Source organism: Homo sapiens, chromosome 20 (assembly GCF_000001405.40).
Source record: "Homo sapiens chromosome 20, GRCh38.p14 Primary Assembly".
Lineage (NCBI taxonomy): Eukaryota > Metazoa > Chordata > Mammalia > Primates > Hominidae > Homo > Homo sapiens.
In genome coordinates, this window is record NC_000020.11 from 8671457 (window position 1) to 8690492 (window position 19036).

At 38.0% G+C, this 19036-nt stretch overlaps 1 protein-coding gene across 2 annotated transcripts in view; it reads left to right on the forward strand.

Annotated features, from left to right (window-relative positions):
* PLCB1 (phospholipase C beta 1) overlaps positions 1 to 19036 on the forward strand; it is a 752635-nt gene that overhangs the window by 539191 nt on the left and 194408 nt on the right. For both annotated transcript variants that reach the window (NM_182734.3, NM_015192.4), the window contains exon 10: positions 13476 to 13622. In NM_182734.3, coding sequence (NP_877398.1) covers positions 13476 to 13622 — 147 coding nt within the window. The remainder of the gene's footprint in view (positions 1 to 13475; positions 13623 to 19036) is intronic.

Sequence of the window (19036 nt, forward strand, 5' to 3'; positions counted from 1 at the left end):
TAAATTACTTGCAGAGATTAGAATGTAAATTAAGTCGGGAAAAGAATTTGGACCTTGATAGACAAATTCAAATCAAAGAGCTAATCCTCACGCCTCTGCCAGATGGGTCATTTGTCCACCGGAGCTCAGCTTCTTTACACAGAAAGATTAAAGTAACACGTTTTAGAGAGATAAGTAAATCATGGGAAAACTCTGCCTTGGTCACATTTAGGATTATTTTTAGGACCAATGCAGAGTGCCCAGATTGAAGCCAACTGCCAAGAAGGCAGGATACCTTTCCTTCCCATCATCCATGCCCCCTATCCAGGCCAGTGTTAGGAAAGTTATGTGGATAAGCACCATCAACCACACCCACCACTATCTGTCTTTCCATTGCCCAGGCATGATATCCAGATCCATTTCACACCAAATAACCCCGTGCCCTCAGACAAGTTGCTAACATCTCTAAGCCTCCGTGTACTCAACTGAAAATGGTAATTTAAAAGTACGTCTCTCATAGGATTTCTATGCCTGGCATGTGGTCAATGCTCAGTAATAGTAGCTCCCATTATTATGATAATTATTGTTATTTACCTTCTTCTATCACTAGATGATGTGTGATGTCTACAGCAAGCAGCATAGCATCATGTTTAATGGCATGAAACACAAAGACTGACTGCCTGGGCTCAAATCCCAACTTACTCACTTATGAATTGTATAACCTTGAGCAACCTTATCTTTGCTTGGGCACAAACCTTGAGCAAGCTACTTGCCTCAGGTTTCCCATCTATAAAATAGTCATAAAAGTACCCACTTACAGAGTTACTGTGAGGATAAAATGAGTTAATACTTGCATATAGCAAGTAGCATATCATAAAAGATTGTTAAACAATATGCTGGAAATATTTTAAATCATGAAACTCTTCTAAGGCTCTCTTCTTCCTTGCACTTTCCTGTTATACTCTTTTTTTTTTTTTTTTTAGTACTGCATGTGTAAGCATGGCCTGCCACATGTTCTTTCCTTGATCCTTTTTCCTTTAGCACTTGGCTACTGCTGCCTTAAACTGCTTTTGGGACTAGCTCAGGAGCAGTTCCATGCTAGTTCTTTGATGCCATGATGTGGGCATTTCCTAGCTAACCATCCAGATATGCATACCGAGCAGGGAAGAGCCTCAGTGGGGGCCCTTCCAGAGACCTTAGCAATGTGCCATGAGTTGTATTTAGGGATTAGTTTTTGACTATGCCCTATGTACTTTTTTCTTGCCCTGATTCACAGAGCTCATGCAAAGTGTAATGAGAGAATTACGTGCTGAGGACTTGCTACTGAGCTCAGAAATTTCAGTTAAATGAGGGGCATCAGCTTGTGTTACCAGACCTTATTTAAAGTTACATTCAGCTGGGCACGGTGGCTCACATCTGTAATCCCAGCACTTTGGGAGGTTGAGGTGGGTGGATAACTTGAGATCAGGAGTTCAAGATCAGCCTGGCCAACATGGTGAAGCCCTATCTCTACTAAAAATATAAAAATTAGCCTAGCATGGTGATGCGCGCCTGTAATCCCAGCTACTCAGGAGGCTGAGGCAGGAGAATCGCTTGAACCTGGGAGGCAGAGGTTGCAGTGAGCCGAGATCGTGCCACTGCACTCCAGCCTGGGCGACAGAGCCAGAGTCCATCCCAAAAATAAATAAATAAATAAATAAATAAATAAATAAATAAATAAAGTCACATTCATGAACTCAGTGGAAAGTGAGAGCCTATTAAATTATTTCAGATACTTTACTTGTGAACCTAATAGGAAATTCTACCAGGGCTGAGCAAATTCGGAAGCTAAGAAGAGATGGCACTGATGGAGCAGGTGGCTCGCAATGTGCAATACCTTGAAGTACAGCCAACTCTGCTGTCACTTAAGGATTGATTTGGCTTATTCTGAATTATTCTAGTCCCCTTTTCCAGTCTATTTTGATAGCTTTGAGCATTTAATGCTGTCTGGTTAGCACTTCTTCTAGGCAGAGGTAGGGTGTAAGGATAAAACTTTCAATCTCTCTAAGACTTTGTTAGGACTCAGCCCCCCAAATCCCTGTCTTTCTTCCGCATATTTGTTGGACTTCAGGGTACCGTTAGTCAGTGCCAGCGAGGCCTCTTGGTTCTGTTCTGTGAGCTGTTCATTGCATTTCTTCGATGTTTTCTTCTTAGTCCTTCCTTTGTAGTGTCATTTACGGCTGAATTTGGAATTGCCGTTTTTAGTTGTCTATGATACAATATCGTTTGAGATATCTGGTTGCCAAGATGAAGCACAAAACCACTCACAATATAAATTAATACATAAATGTTAATATTTGGGGACAAAATAATCATTTTTTCAATTAATATTTGTTGAGCATTTACAAGCCAGGCACTGTTGTGAGTTCTAAAGATCAGCAGTGAACTAGAGAAACACTGCCTGTCTGCTGGACTTCCCACTGAGTGCCTGCATCTCTTTGCTGACAGCTCTCTTTAGCTGCCAGAGCCCCCTCTTCCCAAGGGCGCAGTTGGCCAAAGAGTATTGGGGAATTATCCCCCGGAAGCAGTCCTCAAACAGTGACTGATGGGACTTGGTATAAATACTCCAGCTCCCTCCCCCCTTAAATGGGATCACCTTCAAGTACATGTTTTGTCTCATTTCCTTCAAGGGAAACACAAACTAAGACACTCCATCCTCATGAAACTCACAATCCCTGGATGAAGAGACCAAAACTAGCATACCAGCAAATATATCTATTAGTACAATGACAGATGGTGATAAATGCTATGGAGAAATATAAACAGCATATGAGACAGGAGTGCCAGCAGGAGAGATTGCTATTTGTATGGGCTACTCAAGAAAGACTTCATGTTGTGGTAATATTTGAGGAGACTCTCAGTGCACTCAAAACAAGTCTCTCTCTCTCACTCTCAATTTCTATTTTGAAATAACCTAGAGTGGTGGCTAAGCACTAAGAGCCTTCCCTAGTGCCTGGGCATCAGAGAGGGAATCTGGTCCAAGCTGGTAGCGCTGCATTACCTCATTCTTTTCTGGTCTTGGTCATTGACCATCCTTTTCATAACCACAGACTCAGCTCCATCTTTGCCACCCTTGAGTGGACCGAGGAGGAACTCTCTAAGGCTCAGGCCCATCTACTTAGACACTTCTGCTTCAATAGGTTCTGGCTGCTTGGGAATACCAGCAGCAACTTTCTGGAACACCTTCTGGGAAAGGAGCCACAGAGCTTCTCTCTTCAGGACATCAGGCTTGTCTGCGGTTTCTCCTAGACTTGAGGACAAGGAAGCCTCGGTATGAGAATGTCCTCAGGACCAAGCAGAAGAATGTACCTTTTCATTCTTCTTTCTCTGCCATCCCTTTCTTCCCTAAAGCAAAAGGTCAAATGCTTTGTTGCTGCTTGTTTTGGAAAAGAGTAAGAGGGACTGGTGAAGGATAAAGGAGGAAATATGTCAACTCTCAAATATGACAGGATTGAACACATGATTTATTTTATCACCTTAGAATTTAGTTCTAGAAGTCTCCTTATTTTTTTTAGATTTGATGGTATAATTTCTATGGCAGTGTTTTGAATTCAAATTGCAACTTTACATGACAGACTTAGGGTACAGAATTACAAATCTGGACATAATTTCCTGGCGATTGAATCAAGTATCAACATATCTGATGACCACCATGACGGGAGTTGGACAAGTCACCAGCACTCAGAAAATCAAAGGTCAGCTTGACTCAATGTTCACTCCTTTAGAAACGTAGGGAGTTGACTGCTTCTTGCACGCACCACCGCACCTGTTCCACAAAAGCGGCCTTGTGAGATTGGCAAGAGAAGCCAAGATATCCAAGCTATTTCCCACCTAATAAGTACCTGGGAGCTCAAGCTTCCTCTGTGGCTCTGATGGCACTCTACCTGGGAGAAGATATAGCAAGGAGAACCTGACAGATCATCCATATGGTGCCATCTGTGGTAAGAGATTAGTCACTGCATACTTCTCATTAGAAAAAATATAAAGAAAGCCAGGGAATCCCATGATAAGTCCCAGCCAGGCAAAGCAGAAGACCTTCTGCTCTTCCCATCTGATTCACCATTACCTACAAATACAAGATCAAAGATAAGGAACGTAAGATCTGACTTTTAAACTTAATCAACAAAAATATCTGCAGTATGGTATAGTAGAACCATGGAACTTCAGGATAAATATGGTAGATTGAACATATTCAACTAACTGAACTTTCTTGAAACCACACCAAAACTCCATTAAAAGAGACTTTTAAGGGCATAATCTGGCAAGGGTGAGGGATAATAGATAAGAAATGACCATTACATAATTTAGGTATCTGGCTATATGTTTACAGCAGTTGACAGATCTGAGAACCTGATCATTGATCATCCGTGTGAAAACCTGGAACCAATCCAAGTTATTTTATAAAAAACCTTAAAAGTCTCAGAAATTGATGATGTTTGTTTCCTCTGGAAGTGGGATTCAAGATAAGGCATAAAACAAAGAGGAGAGTTGACAGCTACTTAAGGAACAATCAGAACTCCCACCTTAGAGGGACTATTTATGTATTTATTCTTTGGAGTCAGGAAAACAGAGAGTGTGAGGATGACACAAAGCCCAGATGAAAGCAGGCTACAGGCCGGGCGCGGCGGCTCCCGCCTGCGATGCCAACACTTTGGGAGGCTTAAACAGGCGGATCACCTGAAGTCAGGTGTTAGAGACCAGCCTGGTGAAACCCTGTCTCTACGAAAAATACAAAAATTAGCCGGGCGTGGTGGCATGTGCCTATAGTCCCTGCTACTCAGGAGGCTGAGGCAGGGGAATCACTTGAACCCAGGAGGCAGAGGTTGCAGTGAGGCAAGATAACACCACTGCACTCCAGCCTGTGTGACAGAGCAAGACTCTGTCTCAAGAAGAGAGAAAAAGAAAGAAGAAAGAGAGACAAAGAAAGAAAGAAAGAAAGAGAAGAAAGAAAGAAAGAAAGAGAGAAAGAGTACCATTTTGAAAGCAAGAAGATAAAGTAATTGTAAGCATATGAAAAAATGCTGAGACCTCCTGCATTCTTCTCCAATCTTGCTCTAGAATGCTGGCATCCAGGCCTTCACTCTATCCTGGCAAGAGATTAGATAGAAGTTCTCCCAAGAATCTAATCTGCCTAAGAGGAAAGACCTAAAGATATCAATATTAGGGATTACTCCGAAAGATACAAAGGAAGATCCCTCTGCAGTGATGCCTTACCAACTCTCATACTTTTCAAGCACAGCAAACACATCCAGAAATCCAATCAGCTTTTTAGTCTGCCAACTTGAAATATGAACAGATAATTAAGTGTTACTAGACATATGAGGAAAACTTCCTTAAAAACAGGAAAAAGCAGGGAAAAAAGTAACTTTGTAGGAAATAATGACTATATAGTGAGAATTCGTTAAGTATACACATATCATTAATGTCCATAGAAAAATAACCAAATATATTATGTCCATGAAAAAGAACAGAATGCTAATTTTTTCAATAAATGTCAGAGAACATAAACTGGCTGTTAAACACAAAAACAAAGCACTCCAAAAAAAGGTGGAAATACAATTGAGGAAATCTTTTAGAGAGTAAAGCAAAAAAATTAGATGGAAGATTGGAGAGAAAATGTATAAAAGTTTAAAATCCGGTCAGGCATGTTGGCTCAGGCCTGTAATCCCAGCAATTTGGGAGGCTGAGGTGGGTGGATCACCTGAGGTCGGGAGTTTGAGACCAGCTTGACCAACACAGAGAAACCCCATCTCTACTAAAAATACAAAATTAGCCGGGTGGGGTATGGTGGTGCATGCCTGTAATCCCAGCTACTTGGGAGGCTGAGGCAGGAGGATCGCTTGATCACCTCCACCTGGAGGTGGAGGTTGTGGTAAGCCGAGATCGCACCATTGCACTCCAGCCTGGGCAACAAGAGCGAAACTCAGTCTCAAAACAAAGTTTAAAATCCGGACAAATAATATTCCAGAATGAAAAAACAGAGGAAATTATCATAATAATTCATGTTTTTTTCCAAACAAGACAACAGCTTTCAGACTGAAAGGTTTCAAAGAGTGCCCAGCATAGGGGATAGATAAACCTATGCCAAAGCACATCATTGTGAAATTTTAAGAAACGGGGACCAAAAGTGCTAGAAATTGCCAGAGGGACAAAAACCAAAACAAAACAGGCCACACACCTGTTTTTAGGATGGTGAATCACAAAGTCTTCAAACCTCTTAACAGAGCTAAAAGACAGTGGAGCAAATTTTTCCCACAAAAATCTTTTAAAAAAAAATCCAACCCAAAATACTGTGTCCAGCAAAACTAGCAATCAAGTGTGCAGGTGTAAAGAAGTCATTTTTAGACATGCAAGCCTCAAGAAACTTAACATTCATGAATGCTTTCTCTGGAAGCTACTGACCAATGTGCTCTAACTAAAATTAAAAAATTAACAATTAAAGGGGAAGACATGGCATAAATAAAAGAGATTTAGCACAGAATAGAAGTGAAGAAAACAGAAATTAATCAATCTAGATTGGAGCAGATAAAAGGCTCCAGAAAAGACTTCAAGAGAATCTAACCAAGAGAACACTTGTTATATTTGTACATATTGCAAAAACATTTAGCTAACCGGGGGATACTTTGGAGTTGGACTGGAGATATATGCAAAAAATTAAGCAAATGATAAAACAAGATAATTAACTATAGGGAAAATTTTAAAAAATTGTGCATGAAGATAAAAATAATTGTTAGGTTACTGTATGACTCAACCCTGAACACACTGTGTAGTCATGATAACATAAAGACTGAACACTGTAACTAAATTATAGTATTACTGTCTCTGAAAGAATGAGAGTAATGTATACATGTGCTACAGGAGTAGAGATAAGAAAGAGCAATATTCTCATCTTTCATGGTGGTAAGTCAAAAATAGCAATACATGCGTATTATTTTGAGATACAGAAGTAAATACCAAAAGCTTCTGCTAAAAGATTTGAAGGTGTTTGCTTCTAAGTAAGGAGACATGAGGAAGCGTGTTTCTATTAACCATCCTAGTAAAAGTGGTGCTGGATGGCAGCCATAGAATAATTCTAAATTTAGCAGATAACCCTTGGCTTCTCGACCATGTTGTTTTTCCTATTCTTGTCTCCTGAAGTGGTATCTGCACATCAAGAGCAAATCACACAGGTGGCTTCTTAGCTCCCCTTGGTGACTCCACACACTGGAGACATTCAGCCCCTCCCTACTCCTTCCTTCTAAACTTAGCCCATCGGCAATCAACGCTGACTGATTTTTCTTCATCTTCAACCAGACTTGGGCAGCAGAATGGTAGAAAGGAAACTGGAGCAGAGCTGGATCAAAATGAATTGCTTCTTTCAGAAGAGTCCTGAAATTTACATCCCCAAGAAGGTTCCTATCTGGCCAACATGAAATTAGTGTGTCCACTAACTGATTGCATGGGCTGCAACTCCAAACTCTTTCGTGTTATATGCACTAAGAACTACACTAAATGAATAGAAACCTGAACTGATCAGCAACAGGAATCAAGGATGAATTTTATGTGCCATGTTTTTAAGTTCTTGAAAGGCAATGCTCTGATGGACACATCCTTGGTTATTTCCAACCCTTGACACATAGAGATGCACCCTCAGTAAAAACGTGTTCATTGGTAACCACCAGTAAGGAATACCCTAGCTCCAGGGTGCGTTCAAAACATTTTGCTGTTGCTGGAGAAATATGAACTGAAAACATCTTTTCCCATGTACCTGAAACAAGAGAGTCAACCCAGAATGTCTCCTTAAAAGTAGGTTTTTAGAAGCTAATAGATAAAGGGATCCGAACCTGAGAAGATGAGAGAACCACTCCACAATGCTCTTCTAGACCATTCTTCCTTTCTGTTCTCCAGGGCTCCCTTTTCTGGATACAGATCTTCCTCATTCTTAATTGTTGCAAGGCCAATGGGATGGCCCTGAGTGTAGAGGAGGCATCAGAGTAGCCCATAGCCCAGTAAATACTCAAGGGCCTTTGTATGCATTTGCAAGCATGATGGCATCCAGCTGAGTGTCACTGGATACACTTCAGGGTTTTAAAGCATGATTTTAAAGCATCCCTGGAAGGTATCATTACGTCATAGCAGAATTTTGAATTGATGTCTTTCTGACATCTTTAGGAGCATTGTTTTTTCCATTCCTTGAGGGATTTACATGTTTTGTACTTCAGCTGGAAGTGGTACAAACACTATGTTTGTTTATGAAGACTTTTAAATGCCATTATATGAGTGACATGTCCAATGGCATACTGATTTATTATTAACAAAATATATAAGGTAATTTATTTTTAGCCTTTGTCAACTAACTTTATCCTTCTGAACTCAATTTCTCTTTCTGGTGATTTTATTTCAGAAAACAGTAGCATTGCTTTTACTGTTTCATAATCTCACTCAAATGTGGGACATTTTGTTTTAATTTAGCTAGAAATAATTCCTAATATATTAGCCTGATTGAATTCATAGACTTTTAGAGCTAGAGGAGACTGAGGCATCCATATAGTTTACTCATCCTATAATTAAGGAATTTGTCCCTGACCAGTGACCACTGGCAAGAATGGAAGAAAACTGGATTTCTTGTGCTGTTACTAAGTTTTTTAGAAAAGCAATGTGTTTTGTTATCTTAATTCTCAAGGTTTTTCATTCTTCTATGTGCCTCAGTGGACCAGAGTGGATCAGAAAAAAAAATTGTAAATTTTTCACAAACAGTGCAAGTTTGATAGAAAAGGGCTAATGCATTTTAGTCAATGGCGACAATAATATTCCAGCTGAAGGTTATATGGAAGGGATATCCTCAGAGTTTGTTCTCTGCCCCAAGTCTTTACTAGTCAGAACTATTTTTTAGGCTAATTCATTATGACAAAACATCTGTATTTTTGCAAATACTCTTGACCCCTTAGCTGACACCTACAAGATTACAAACTGACTGCTCTTTATCTTTACATTTTATTGGCTTTCCTTGACTTTGACATATCTCTGCCTAATCATTTAATGTATCAAAAATCTTCAGCATTTGCTCCTTTTGTTAGCAAGGCAAAGCTTTGGGATTGAAAAGTTGATCCCTGGTTCACAGTTACAGTTCCCTGATTGCACAGTTATTTTATTGCTATGATATGCATGTGTTTACAAGAAGCTCACTGGTAGTCTACAATCATATTCTACCCAAACTACCCTTCAAACTCAATCTTTGTTCTTATTCAAGTTTAGGTAAATTCCTTCACCAGGGATTTTTAAATTCTTTAATATAATTATAAATTATCCTCACACTCACTCACCAAACTATTGTTGTTTGTTGATTTTAATGTATACTAAAAATTCTGTTAAAATATTTTATTCCAATGAGATAATAAAGGTAGAGAAAATAACCAAAAAGGTTATGGTTTAATTGACCTGTAGGGTATTAACTAGTCTGTATTCAATTTAGTAATATCTGTCTAGTTTGTGTTTTTGGTTTTTGGTTTATTTGCTTGGTTTTTGTTGACAAAAATATACAAATACATACATACAAACACATACACATACAAACACATACATATATTTGTGTATATATACTTATATGTATATATGTGTGTATATGTGTGTGTGTATATATATATATATATATATATATATATATATAATATATATAAAATCAGTGTCTCATAGCCTCCTTTGACCTGGCTTTGACAACTTCCGGATTAAATAAAACTTGGATACACATTCTTTGCATGTTCCAAATTATACCTTGACCTTGATTATAATATCTTCATTTGAGTATGACAAATATATGAAGTGTACACCTTCACTTTTCTATCCTGTACCCAAGGCAGACATCAAAATTAATCACAGGCATGGTTCAGAATCTTTCTCAACACAAGCACCCAGAAGACATTAACAATAAATGGAATTTGGAGCTAAAGTTAAAATCCATTTGTCATTTCTGCCCTATTGGCCTATGTTGTTGTTTTTTCTTGCTTTTAAAAGTTGCTGATCAAACCAAAGGATGTTTATTCTTGCATTTCATTCTTGTTCTTCTTTCATGTTCAATAAACCATTGTATTAGATTGCACAGTTATTTTATTGCTATGATATGCATGTGTATACAAGAAGCATACACTTGCCAGTTTTCCATACCCTGTGACTCCCCCAGTATGCACACTCATCCAGCAGTTACATTACTTTCCTTTCCTGGCCCCTGAAGATACTTGCATTTATTGCCTGTCTTTTAAGGAATTGTTATAGTTAGAGATTGGGTTGTGTGAAATTGCCTTTTGCATAGGTGAAAAACAGCAAATATTACAAATTTCATATCATTTGACCTAATCAGAACATAAGAATCAAACAAAATGCTGCTGTCTTTGGTGATCTTCCAGTTTCAAAACAATTTATTTTCTATTTTGAATCCCAATAATCATCCAAAAGAAGTAGTGATTTAGCACCCACTGTGCACAAAGCATCTAGTAGACACCAGGGACGACAAAGATACATGCACATTCAGCTTTTAAAGGTGCTCGTGCCTGGGTTTCAAGGGGTGAATGGCCTTATTTTCTATTAGACGGTGAGCTCTTTGAAGGCAGAGGCTGTGTTTTACTGTGCTTTATTTTTCTGTGCATTTATCGTATGGTAGATGTTCAATAAACCTTTGTGAAATTAGTGAAAGGAAAAGAGATAGGGGAGAAGGAAAGGAAATAGAGAGAAAAGGAGAAATAGAGATTCTGGTGTGAAAAGCACGTGCCCAGGCCCAGCTCAGCGGCTCACGCCTGTAACCTCAGGACTTTGGGAGGCTGTGGTGGGAGGATCGCTTGAGTACAGGTGTTCAAGACCAGCCTGGGGAACATAGGAAGACCCCTGTCTCTACACAGAGAAAAAAAATTACCTGGGCATGGTGGTGCATGCCTATGGTCCCAGCTACTCGGGAGGCTGAGGCAGGAGGATTGCCCGAGCCCAGGAGGAAGGTTTTTCTTTTGCGAAACAGCTCCTCTCATCAAAAGAGCCAAAACAAACTTTCCTTCTTATTTTTTATTCTTGGACAATAGTAAAAGCAATTTAGCTATTGAGTTTCCAGAACTTGGGAAAAGCAGTCATCGGTCACCTTGAGAAATGTATTGAATGTGAAAAGATTTTTACTGTGGTAAATAATCAGTGCTAGCTTTGCCATTTACAAATGGCACATCTCTTAGCAATCAAGAATAAATAATGTTTAAATCAGTAAAAATTAGAATTGTTAAATGTTGTCATTTTACTGATAGGTTTGGCAGTAGGGGAGAAGAGAAGGAAAACAGATACTTTTATATACCATTGGTGAAAGTCAATTGCTAGGACTTTAACAGAAAGAAAATTGGTTATGTGTATTAAAATCCTCAAAAGTATGCGAAGTCTTTGAATCAGAAATTCTATTTCTGGGAATTCATCCTGAAGAAATAATTAAGTATTTATACAAAGATGTAACCATCAGAGCAGTCAATGCAATGTCATTTATACTAGTGAAAAAATTAGAAACAACTTTAATGATCAATGATAATAGAATATTATTTCATATTATACTGCTATATTTTATGATATAAAAATATAGATAGTTGCATATTTTATGCTATAGTTAAATATCCGCATAGAATTTATTTTTACATTAAAAATGTTCATAATATATTGCTCAGTTAATACAAAGGTTACTAAATTATATATATAATTATATGTATGTGTGTATATGCATGATTACAGCTTCATAAAAGAATTATACACACACACGGGTATTTTTCTGGGAGGATACACACCAATGTTTTAGCAGTAGTTATCTCTGAAAGAAAAGTTAGGGATGTTCAAAACAAGTTTTATTTTTTCTCTCTGTTTATCTCATTTCCCAATTTTTCTTTAATGAACATATTCCACTTTTATAGTAATAAAAACTGTTTCAACAAGAAAAAAAAAAGAAATGCTACCCTCCGACATTTGTTGGCAACATATTTACTACCCGCAAATATGTTGTTTGAAGCTTTGATTGTCAAGATTGAAGAAACAAATTGTAGTGATAGACCAAAATACTTAAGATGATCCTATGTATCTATGAAGATTATGACAAAAAATTGTCTCAATACGTGTATCAAAACATCCAGTTGTACACCTTAAATATGTAGTTTTTTAAATTATACCTCAATAAAGTTGACAAAAGAATTTTGTCAATATTTAGTATTAGTCAACTCAGAAAGGTTACAACATAGAAAAATTTCTAAATAGAATCTGAGTAAACTAAATTACCTGTGTCATATTTCTGCCATCTGAAGTAAAATAATTCTTAATATGAGATTTAAAGATCTTTTTTCATGAGCATTCAAATTTTTATTTTCAGGAAAGACTCATTTGTGGGCATCTTTATTTTCTGTTTCAGAGAAAAATATCATTATTTGAAAACACCTTTTTTTTTTTTGAGACAGAGTCTCGCTCTGTCACCCAGGCTGGAGTGTAGTGGTGCGATCTCAGCTCACTGCAAACTCCACCTCCTGGGTTCAAACAATTCTCCTGCCTCAGCCTCCCGAGTAGCTGGGACTGCAGGCACCCGCCACCACACCCGGCTAATTTTTCTGTATTTTTAGTAGAGACGAGGTTTCACCGTGTTAGCCAGGATGGTCTCGATCTCCTGACCTTGTGATCTGCCCACCTTGGCCTCCCAAAGTGCTGGGATTACAGGCGTGAGCCACCGCGCCCAGCCCCAAAAACACTTTAACATTATTTTAAATAATAAAACCACTTGTAAATTATTTATTTATTTATTTATTTATTTATTTATTTATTTTTATTTTGAGAAGGAGTCTCGCTCTGTCGCCCAGGCTGGAGTGCAGTGGCGCCATCTCGGCTCAATGCAACCTCCACCTCCTGGGTGCAAGCGATTCTCCTGCCTCAGCCTCCTGAGTAGCTGGATTACAGGCGCCCACCATGCCCGGGTTAATTTTTGTGTTTTGGGTAGAGAGGAGACTTCGCCATATTGGCCAGGCTGGTCTCGAGCTCCTGACCTCAAGTGATCCACACGCCTCAGCCTCCCAAAGTGCTGGGATTACAGGCCACTTGTACATAATTTTGATTATAAAGTAACATACATTAATAAGAAAAAAAATTGAAAAATTACCCCAAATTCTATTACACAGAGATAAGCACTGATAACATTTTAGTGCCGATCCATAAAGTTAATACCAGTCTTACATTGGAAAACAGGAGGTTGGTGTTTATTTAAATCCTCTGAAAATTTGGTGGGGCTCATGTAACTACATGTTTTCTCTATTGTCTGTGACATTTGGAAATAATTGTAGTGAAACAGAATAATCCTACACTCTTATTTATCCATACTAAAATGTCTTCTACCTTGGACACTACAAGATATTTCTGGAAAAAAAAAAAAAAAGAGGCGACTTGACACCCATAAAAGAATGCATTCACATCCTTTCTAACTTCATTTCCTCCAGGACAAATATCAGTGGATGGGTTCATGCGCTATCTGAGTGGAGAAGAAAACGGAGTCGTTTCACCTGAGAAACTGGATTTGAATGAAGACATGTCTCAGCCCCTTTCTCACTATTTCATTAATTCCTCGCACAACACCTACCTCACAGGTATGAATTTTCTAGTTCTTTGTTACTTTAGCCAGTCTCACCAAATTTCACCAACCTCTACTTTCTGTTGTTCGGAAGCTGAAGTGTGTTTTCTTCCATTTCCTGCGAAGTGCCTCTGAGAACTCTGGGGTTCCACCACTAAAGCCTCCCGCCTCCCATAAGCAGTCATGTCCACATGTGTATGAAGCAATAGCATCATTTCTCCACAGCCTAAGTTTTTAAGTCTTCTAAAATGCAACCACGGCTGACATTTTCAGATCAATGGGATTTTTGTGTAACTGAACTCATTCTTCAGTGTACTTGAAGCCATGTCCAGTCCTACCCGGTTCTCTGGGCTGTGTTCATCTACATGACAGCTCCGAAGTTCTTAAGTGGTGGCTCATGCTTGTAATCCCAGCACTTTGGGACGGCGAGGCGGGCGGATCACCTGAGGTCAGGAGTTCGAGACCAGCCTGTTCAATATGGCGAAACCCCTGTCTCTACTAAAAATACAAAAAAAAAAAAAAAAATCAGCCAGGCGTGGTGGTGCGTGCCTGTAAACCCAGCTACTTGGGAGGCTGAGGCAGGAGAATCACCTGAACCCAAGAGGTGGAGGTTACAGTGAGCCGAGATCACACCACTGCACCCCAACCTGGGTGACAAGAATGAAACTTTGTCTCAAAAGAAAAAAAAAAGAATTAAGTAATTGCTTTTTGTTCAAGGTAGGACAGGGCTTTAGACAAAAACAAATTGACCTGTGAATGACAACTTATACTTTATTGTAAATATTATAATAAAGTAGGATAAAACATCAATGTGTTTCTAATCTGATCTTAAATTAAGCCTTGACCTATTTGGCAGTCTGGTGAAGTGTATGCACCCTTCTCAGAATGCTAAATGCATAAATTAAGTACCTAGAATTAAAGAGGAAATAAATTTCATTGAAATATTTTTATAAAATGTTATGATATATAACCTTGTGTATCTCAGTATTAACACAATTTAAATAAGTATAAGTAAAATGTTGTGATAATTTGCAACAATTGGAATATAATACACAGATCTTGCTAGTGACTTGTAAACTACATACTTAACTGAAGAGAATGTTAAATTTTGTGTAGAGGTTAAAATTAAAACTGTAACCATTCTTTCTCATCCAAGTTCAAGGAGGTTCATGGAATATCACTTTAACAGTCTAGATCTTTGACATGATAAAATTCAAAGAAGTATAATTTTTAAAATCTGAGCACATTATAGAATCTTACATTTATCCTATATTTAGGACCACAAAACTCAAAAATACTTAAATATATGTCCGGTTGAATTTTGGGTATTGTGTGTGATTTTGTTTAAGTGGAAGTCACAATATAGAGTAGATTTTTTACGAATAATCTTTTGAGTCCAAAATACCTTCCAACTGATATATTTATATTCATTACATTCTATTTTATTTGTCATATAATAAATGAGTCAGTAATACCAAAATGATTGAATGACAAGACTGATTGGATATACATTTTATTTTTTCACCTTCTTTCAGAGTATATTAATTTTTCCCTTTCTGACTATCACTAGGGTTTTCAGATTTTATGTATGTTCATTCAATCGCGGCTGCCATTCTCCTTTTGAGAGACCAAATTGTCTCAACTTTGGTTAGTAGGAGACATTTTTAGGCTATCATCTGTGTCCTCTTGACATGACCTATTAATCTTTGAAAGTGTTCTGGCACATAGAGATCTTCCAGACTCACCTTATTCCTTTCTGCTCCAGAGATGGAAACAGACTATTCTCCAGTGAGCCCTGGTTCTTTTTGATGGGAAAGAAAAAGTATGAGTAACAGCAATTTGGACCCTGAACATTGCCTGGACTGTTTCAGTGAACAAAGGAAGAAAAGATAATTTTTTTTTGTCTTTTTAAGGCACGAGTTCACATAAATATTTCTACTTCTACCTACCAATTTAAATTATTATTATTATTATTATTCTTGAGACAGGGCCTCACTCTGTTGCCCAGGCTGGAGCACAGTGGCATGATGATAGCTCACTGTAGTCCCGATCTCCTGGGCTCAAGCAATCCTCCCACCTCAGCCTCCTGAGTAGCTGAAACTACAGGCACGTGCCACCACACCTGGCTAATTTTTTATTTCTTGTAAAGACAAGGTCTCACTATGTTGCCCAGGCTGGACTCAGACTCCTGAGCTCAAGCAATCCTTCTGCCTCAGCCTCCCAAAGTCCTGGGATTAACGACATGAGCCACTGTGCCTGTCCCCAATTTAAATTATTTTTTTAAATTATTTTTCCATAAGTTATAAGGGTATAGGTGGTATTTGGTTACATGAGTAAGTTCTTTAGTGGAGATTTGTAAGATGAGATCCTGGTGCACCCATCACCCGAGCAGTATACACTGAACCATATTGGTTGTCTTTTATCCCTCACCCCCTGCCCCAAGTCCCCAAAGTCTATTATATCATTCTTATGCCTTTGCGTCCTCATAGCTTAGCTCCCACATATCAGAGAGAACATACGATGTTTGGTTTTCCATTCCTGAGTTACTTCACTTAGAAAAATCGTCTCTAATCTCATCCAAGTCATTGGAAATGCTGTTAATTCATTCCTTTTTGTGGATGAGTAGTGTTCTATCATGTATACATACCACAGTTTCTATATCTACTCATTGACTGATGGGCATTTCAGTTGGTTCCACGATTTTGCTATTGTGAATTGTGCTGCTGTAAACATGCGTGTGCAAGTATCTTTTTCAAATAGTGACTTATTTTCCTCTGGGTAGATACCCATTAGTGGGACGGCTGGATCAAATGGTAGTTCTACTTTTAGTTCTTTAAGGAATCTCCACACTGTTTTCCATAGTGGCTGTACTAGTTTACATTCCCACCAGCAGTGTAGAAGTGTTCCCTGATTGCTGCATCCATGCCAACTTCTACTGTTTTTTGATTCTTGGATTATGGCCATTGTTGCAAGAGTAAGGTGGTATCGCATTGTGGTTTTGATTTGCATTTCCCTGATCATTAGTGATGTTGAGCATTTTTTCATATGTGTGTTGGTCATTTGTACATCTTCTTTTGAGAGTTGTCTATTCATGTCCTTAGCCCACTTTTTGATGGAATTGATTGTTTTCTCCTTGCTGATTTGTTTGAGTTCATTGTAGATTCTGGATATTAGTCCTTTGTCAGATGTATAGATTGTGAATATTTTCTCCCACTCTGTGGGTTGTCTGTTTATTCTGCTGACTGTTCCTTTTGCTGTGCAAAAGCTCTTTAGTTTAATTAGGTCCCAGCCATGTATCTTTGTTTTTATGCAATTGCTTTTACCCAAAAGCAATTTTTGGTCATGAAATCCTTGCCTAAGCCAATGTCTAGAAGGGTTTTTCTAATGTTATCTTCTAGAATTTTTATAGTTTCAGGTCTTAGATTTAGGTCCTTAATCCATCTTGAGTTGATTTTTGTATAAGGTGAGAGATGAGGATCCAGTTTCATTTTCCTACATGTGGCTAGCCAATTACCCCAGCACACTTTGTTGAAAAGGGTGTTTTTCCCCCACTTTATGTTTTTGTTTGCTTTGTCAAAGATCAGTTGGCTGTAAGTATTTGGGTTTATTTCTGGGTTCTCTATTCTGTCCCATTGTTCTGAGTGCCTATTTTTATGCCAGTACCACACTGTTTTGGTGACTATGCCCTTAGAGTATAGTTTGAAATCAGGTAGTGTGATGCTTCCAGATTTGTTCTTTTTGCTTAGTCTTGCTTTGGCTATGCGGGCTATTTTTTGGTTCCGTATGAATTTTAGAATTGTTTTTTCTAACTCTGTGAAGAATGATGGTGGTATTTTGATGGAGATTGCATTGAATTTGTAGATTGCTTTTGGCAGTGTGGCCATTCTCACAATATTGATTCTACCCATCCATGAGCATGGGATGTGTTTTCATTTGTTTGTCATCTATGATTTATTTCAGCAGTGTTTTGTAGTTTTCCTTGTAGAAGCCTTTTGACTCCTTTTTTAGGTATATTCCTCAGTATTTTTTTTTTTTTTGCAGCTATTGTAAAAGGGTTGAGTTCTTGATTTGATTATCTGCTTGGTCACTGTTGGTGTATAAAAGAGCTACTGATTTGAATATATTAATCTTGTATCTGAAAACTTTGCTGAATTCTCTTATCTGTTCTAGGAGCTTTCTAGAGGCGTCCTTAGGATTTTCAAGGTAAACAATCATATCGTCAGCAGTCAGGGACAGTTTGACTTCCTCTTCACTTATTTGGATGCCCTTTATTTCTTTCTCTTGTCTGATTGCTCTGGCCAAGACTTCCAGTACTATGATGAAGAAGGGTGGTGAGAGTGGGCATCCTTGTTTTGTTCCCGTTCTCAGGAAGAATGCTTTCAGCTTTTCCCCATTCAGTATTAAGTTGGCTGTGGGTTTGTCATAGGTGGCTTTTAATTCATTAAGGTGTGTCCCTTGTATGCCAATTTTGCTGAGCTGTGCTCTTTTTAGTAATCTTGATACCTAACAGATTATACATACTAACTCATTTTCTTTACTGAAAACCTTATAATAGTATTAAGAAAATTTTCAATATTAATACAAATAATAAAACTACAAAATGTAGTTCAAATTTGTGTATGCAGTTTTTAAATTACATTTCACTAAAAATTTACAATCAAATTAATTTCTTCTTCTAAATTAATTTCTTCTGAAGTCATTCATATGCCCTTCCTATGTATAACTTGTTAAACACAGATGTGGTAAAAAATTTGGCTCCATTGTGTCAGGTTAGTTTAAATTTGAGGGTGTTGGCATATTAACAGCTAATCAGACTAAAAAGATGATGTGATACTTTCAGCTATTAGGAAAGAAAAGGGTTTACCTTTTTTATGAAGAAAGAACTCTAATAGCTGTCTCCAAATTTCTGTACAATGGTTTTGTATCAACACCATCTGATTCATATACCTCGTTTCTGGTCAATTATCTCTTCAATTATTTAATTTCTAGTACTGTTAGAATCCACATATTTTCAAATACTCAGTTTTTAAAACTATATTAACTATGTTAAATTGTATTCTCATCTAAGGGGTTTTGTTTTTGCTGTTGTTTTTTTTTTTTATCTTGCTCCCTTTTCTGAGCTCTGTATTATTATACCAAGGTTTGCATTAGATAAATCTGTAACCACTCAACTGGGTTCTTCTTGCCTGCTGCCTAGAAAAAGCCAATACACTGAGAACAGCAGGTGTTACAACAGAGAAAGTTTACTTATTGCAAGGCAGTGGAGCAGAAGGATGGGACATATTTCTCAAATCAGTCTCTCTGATAATCCAGAAGCTAGGATTTTTCAAGGATAGTTAGGCAGCAGGGGGTTGGGAAGTGGTTAGGGAATGGGGAATGCTGATTGGTGGGTCAGGAAAGAAATGACATGGGAGTCAAAGCTGTCTTCTT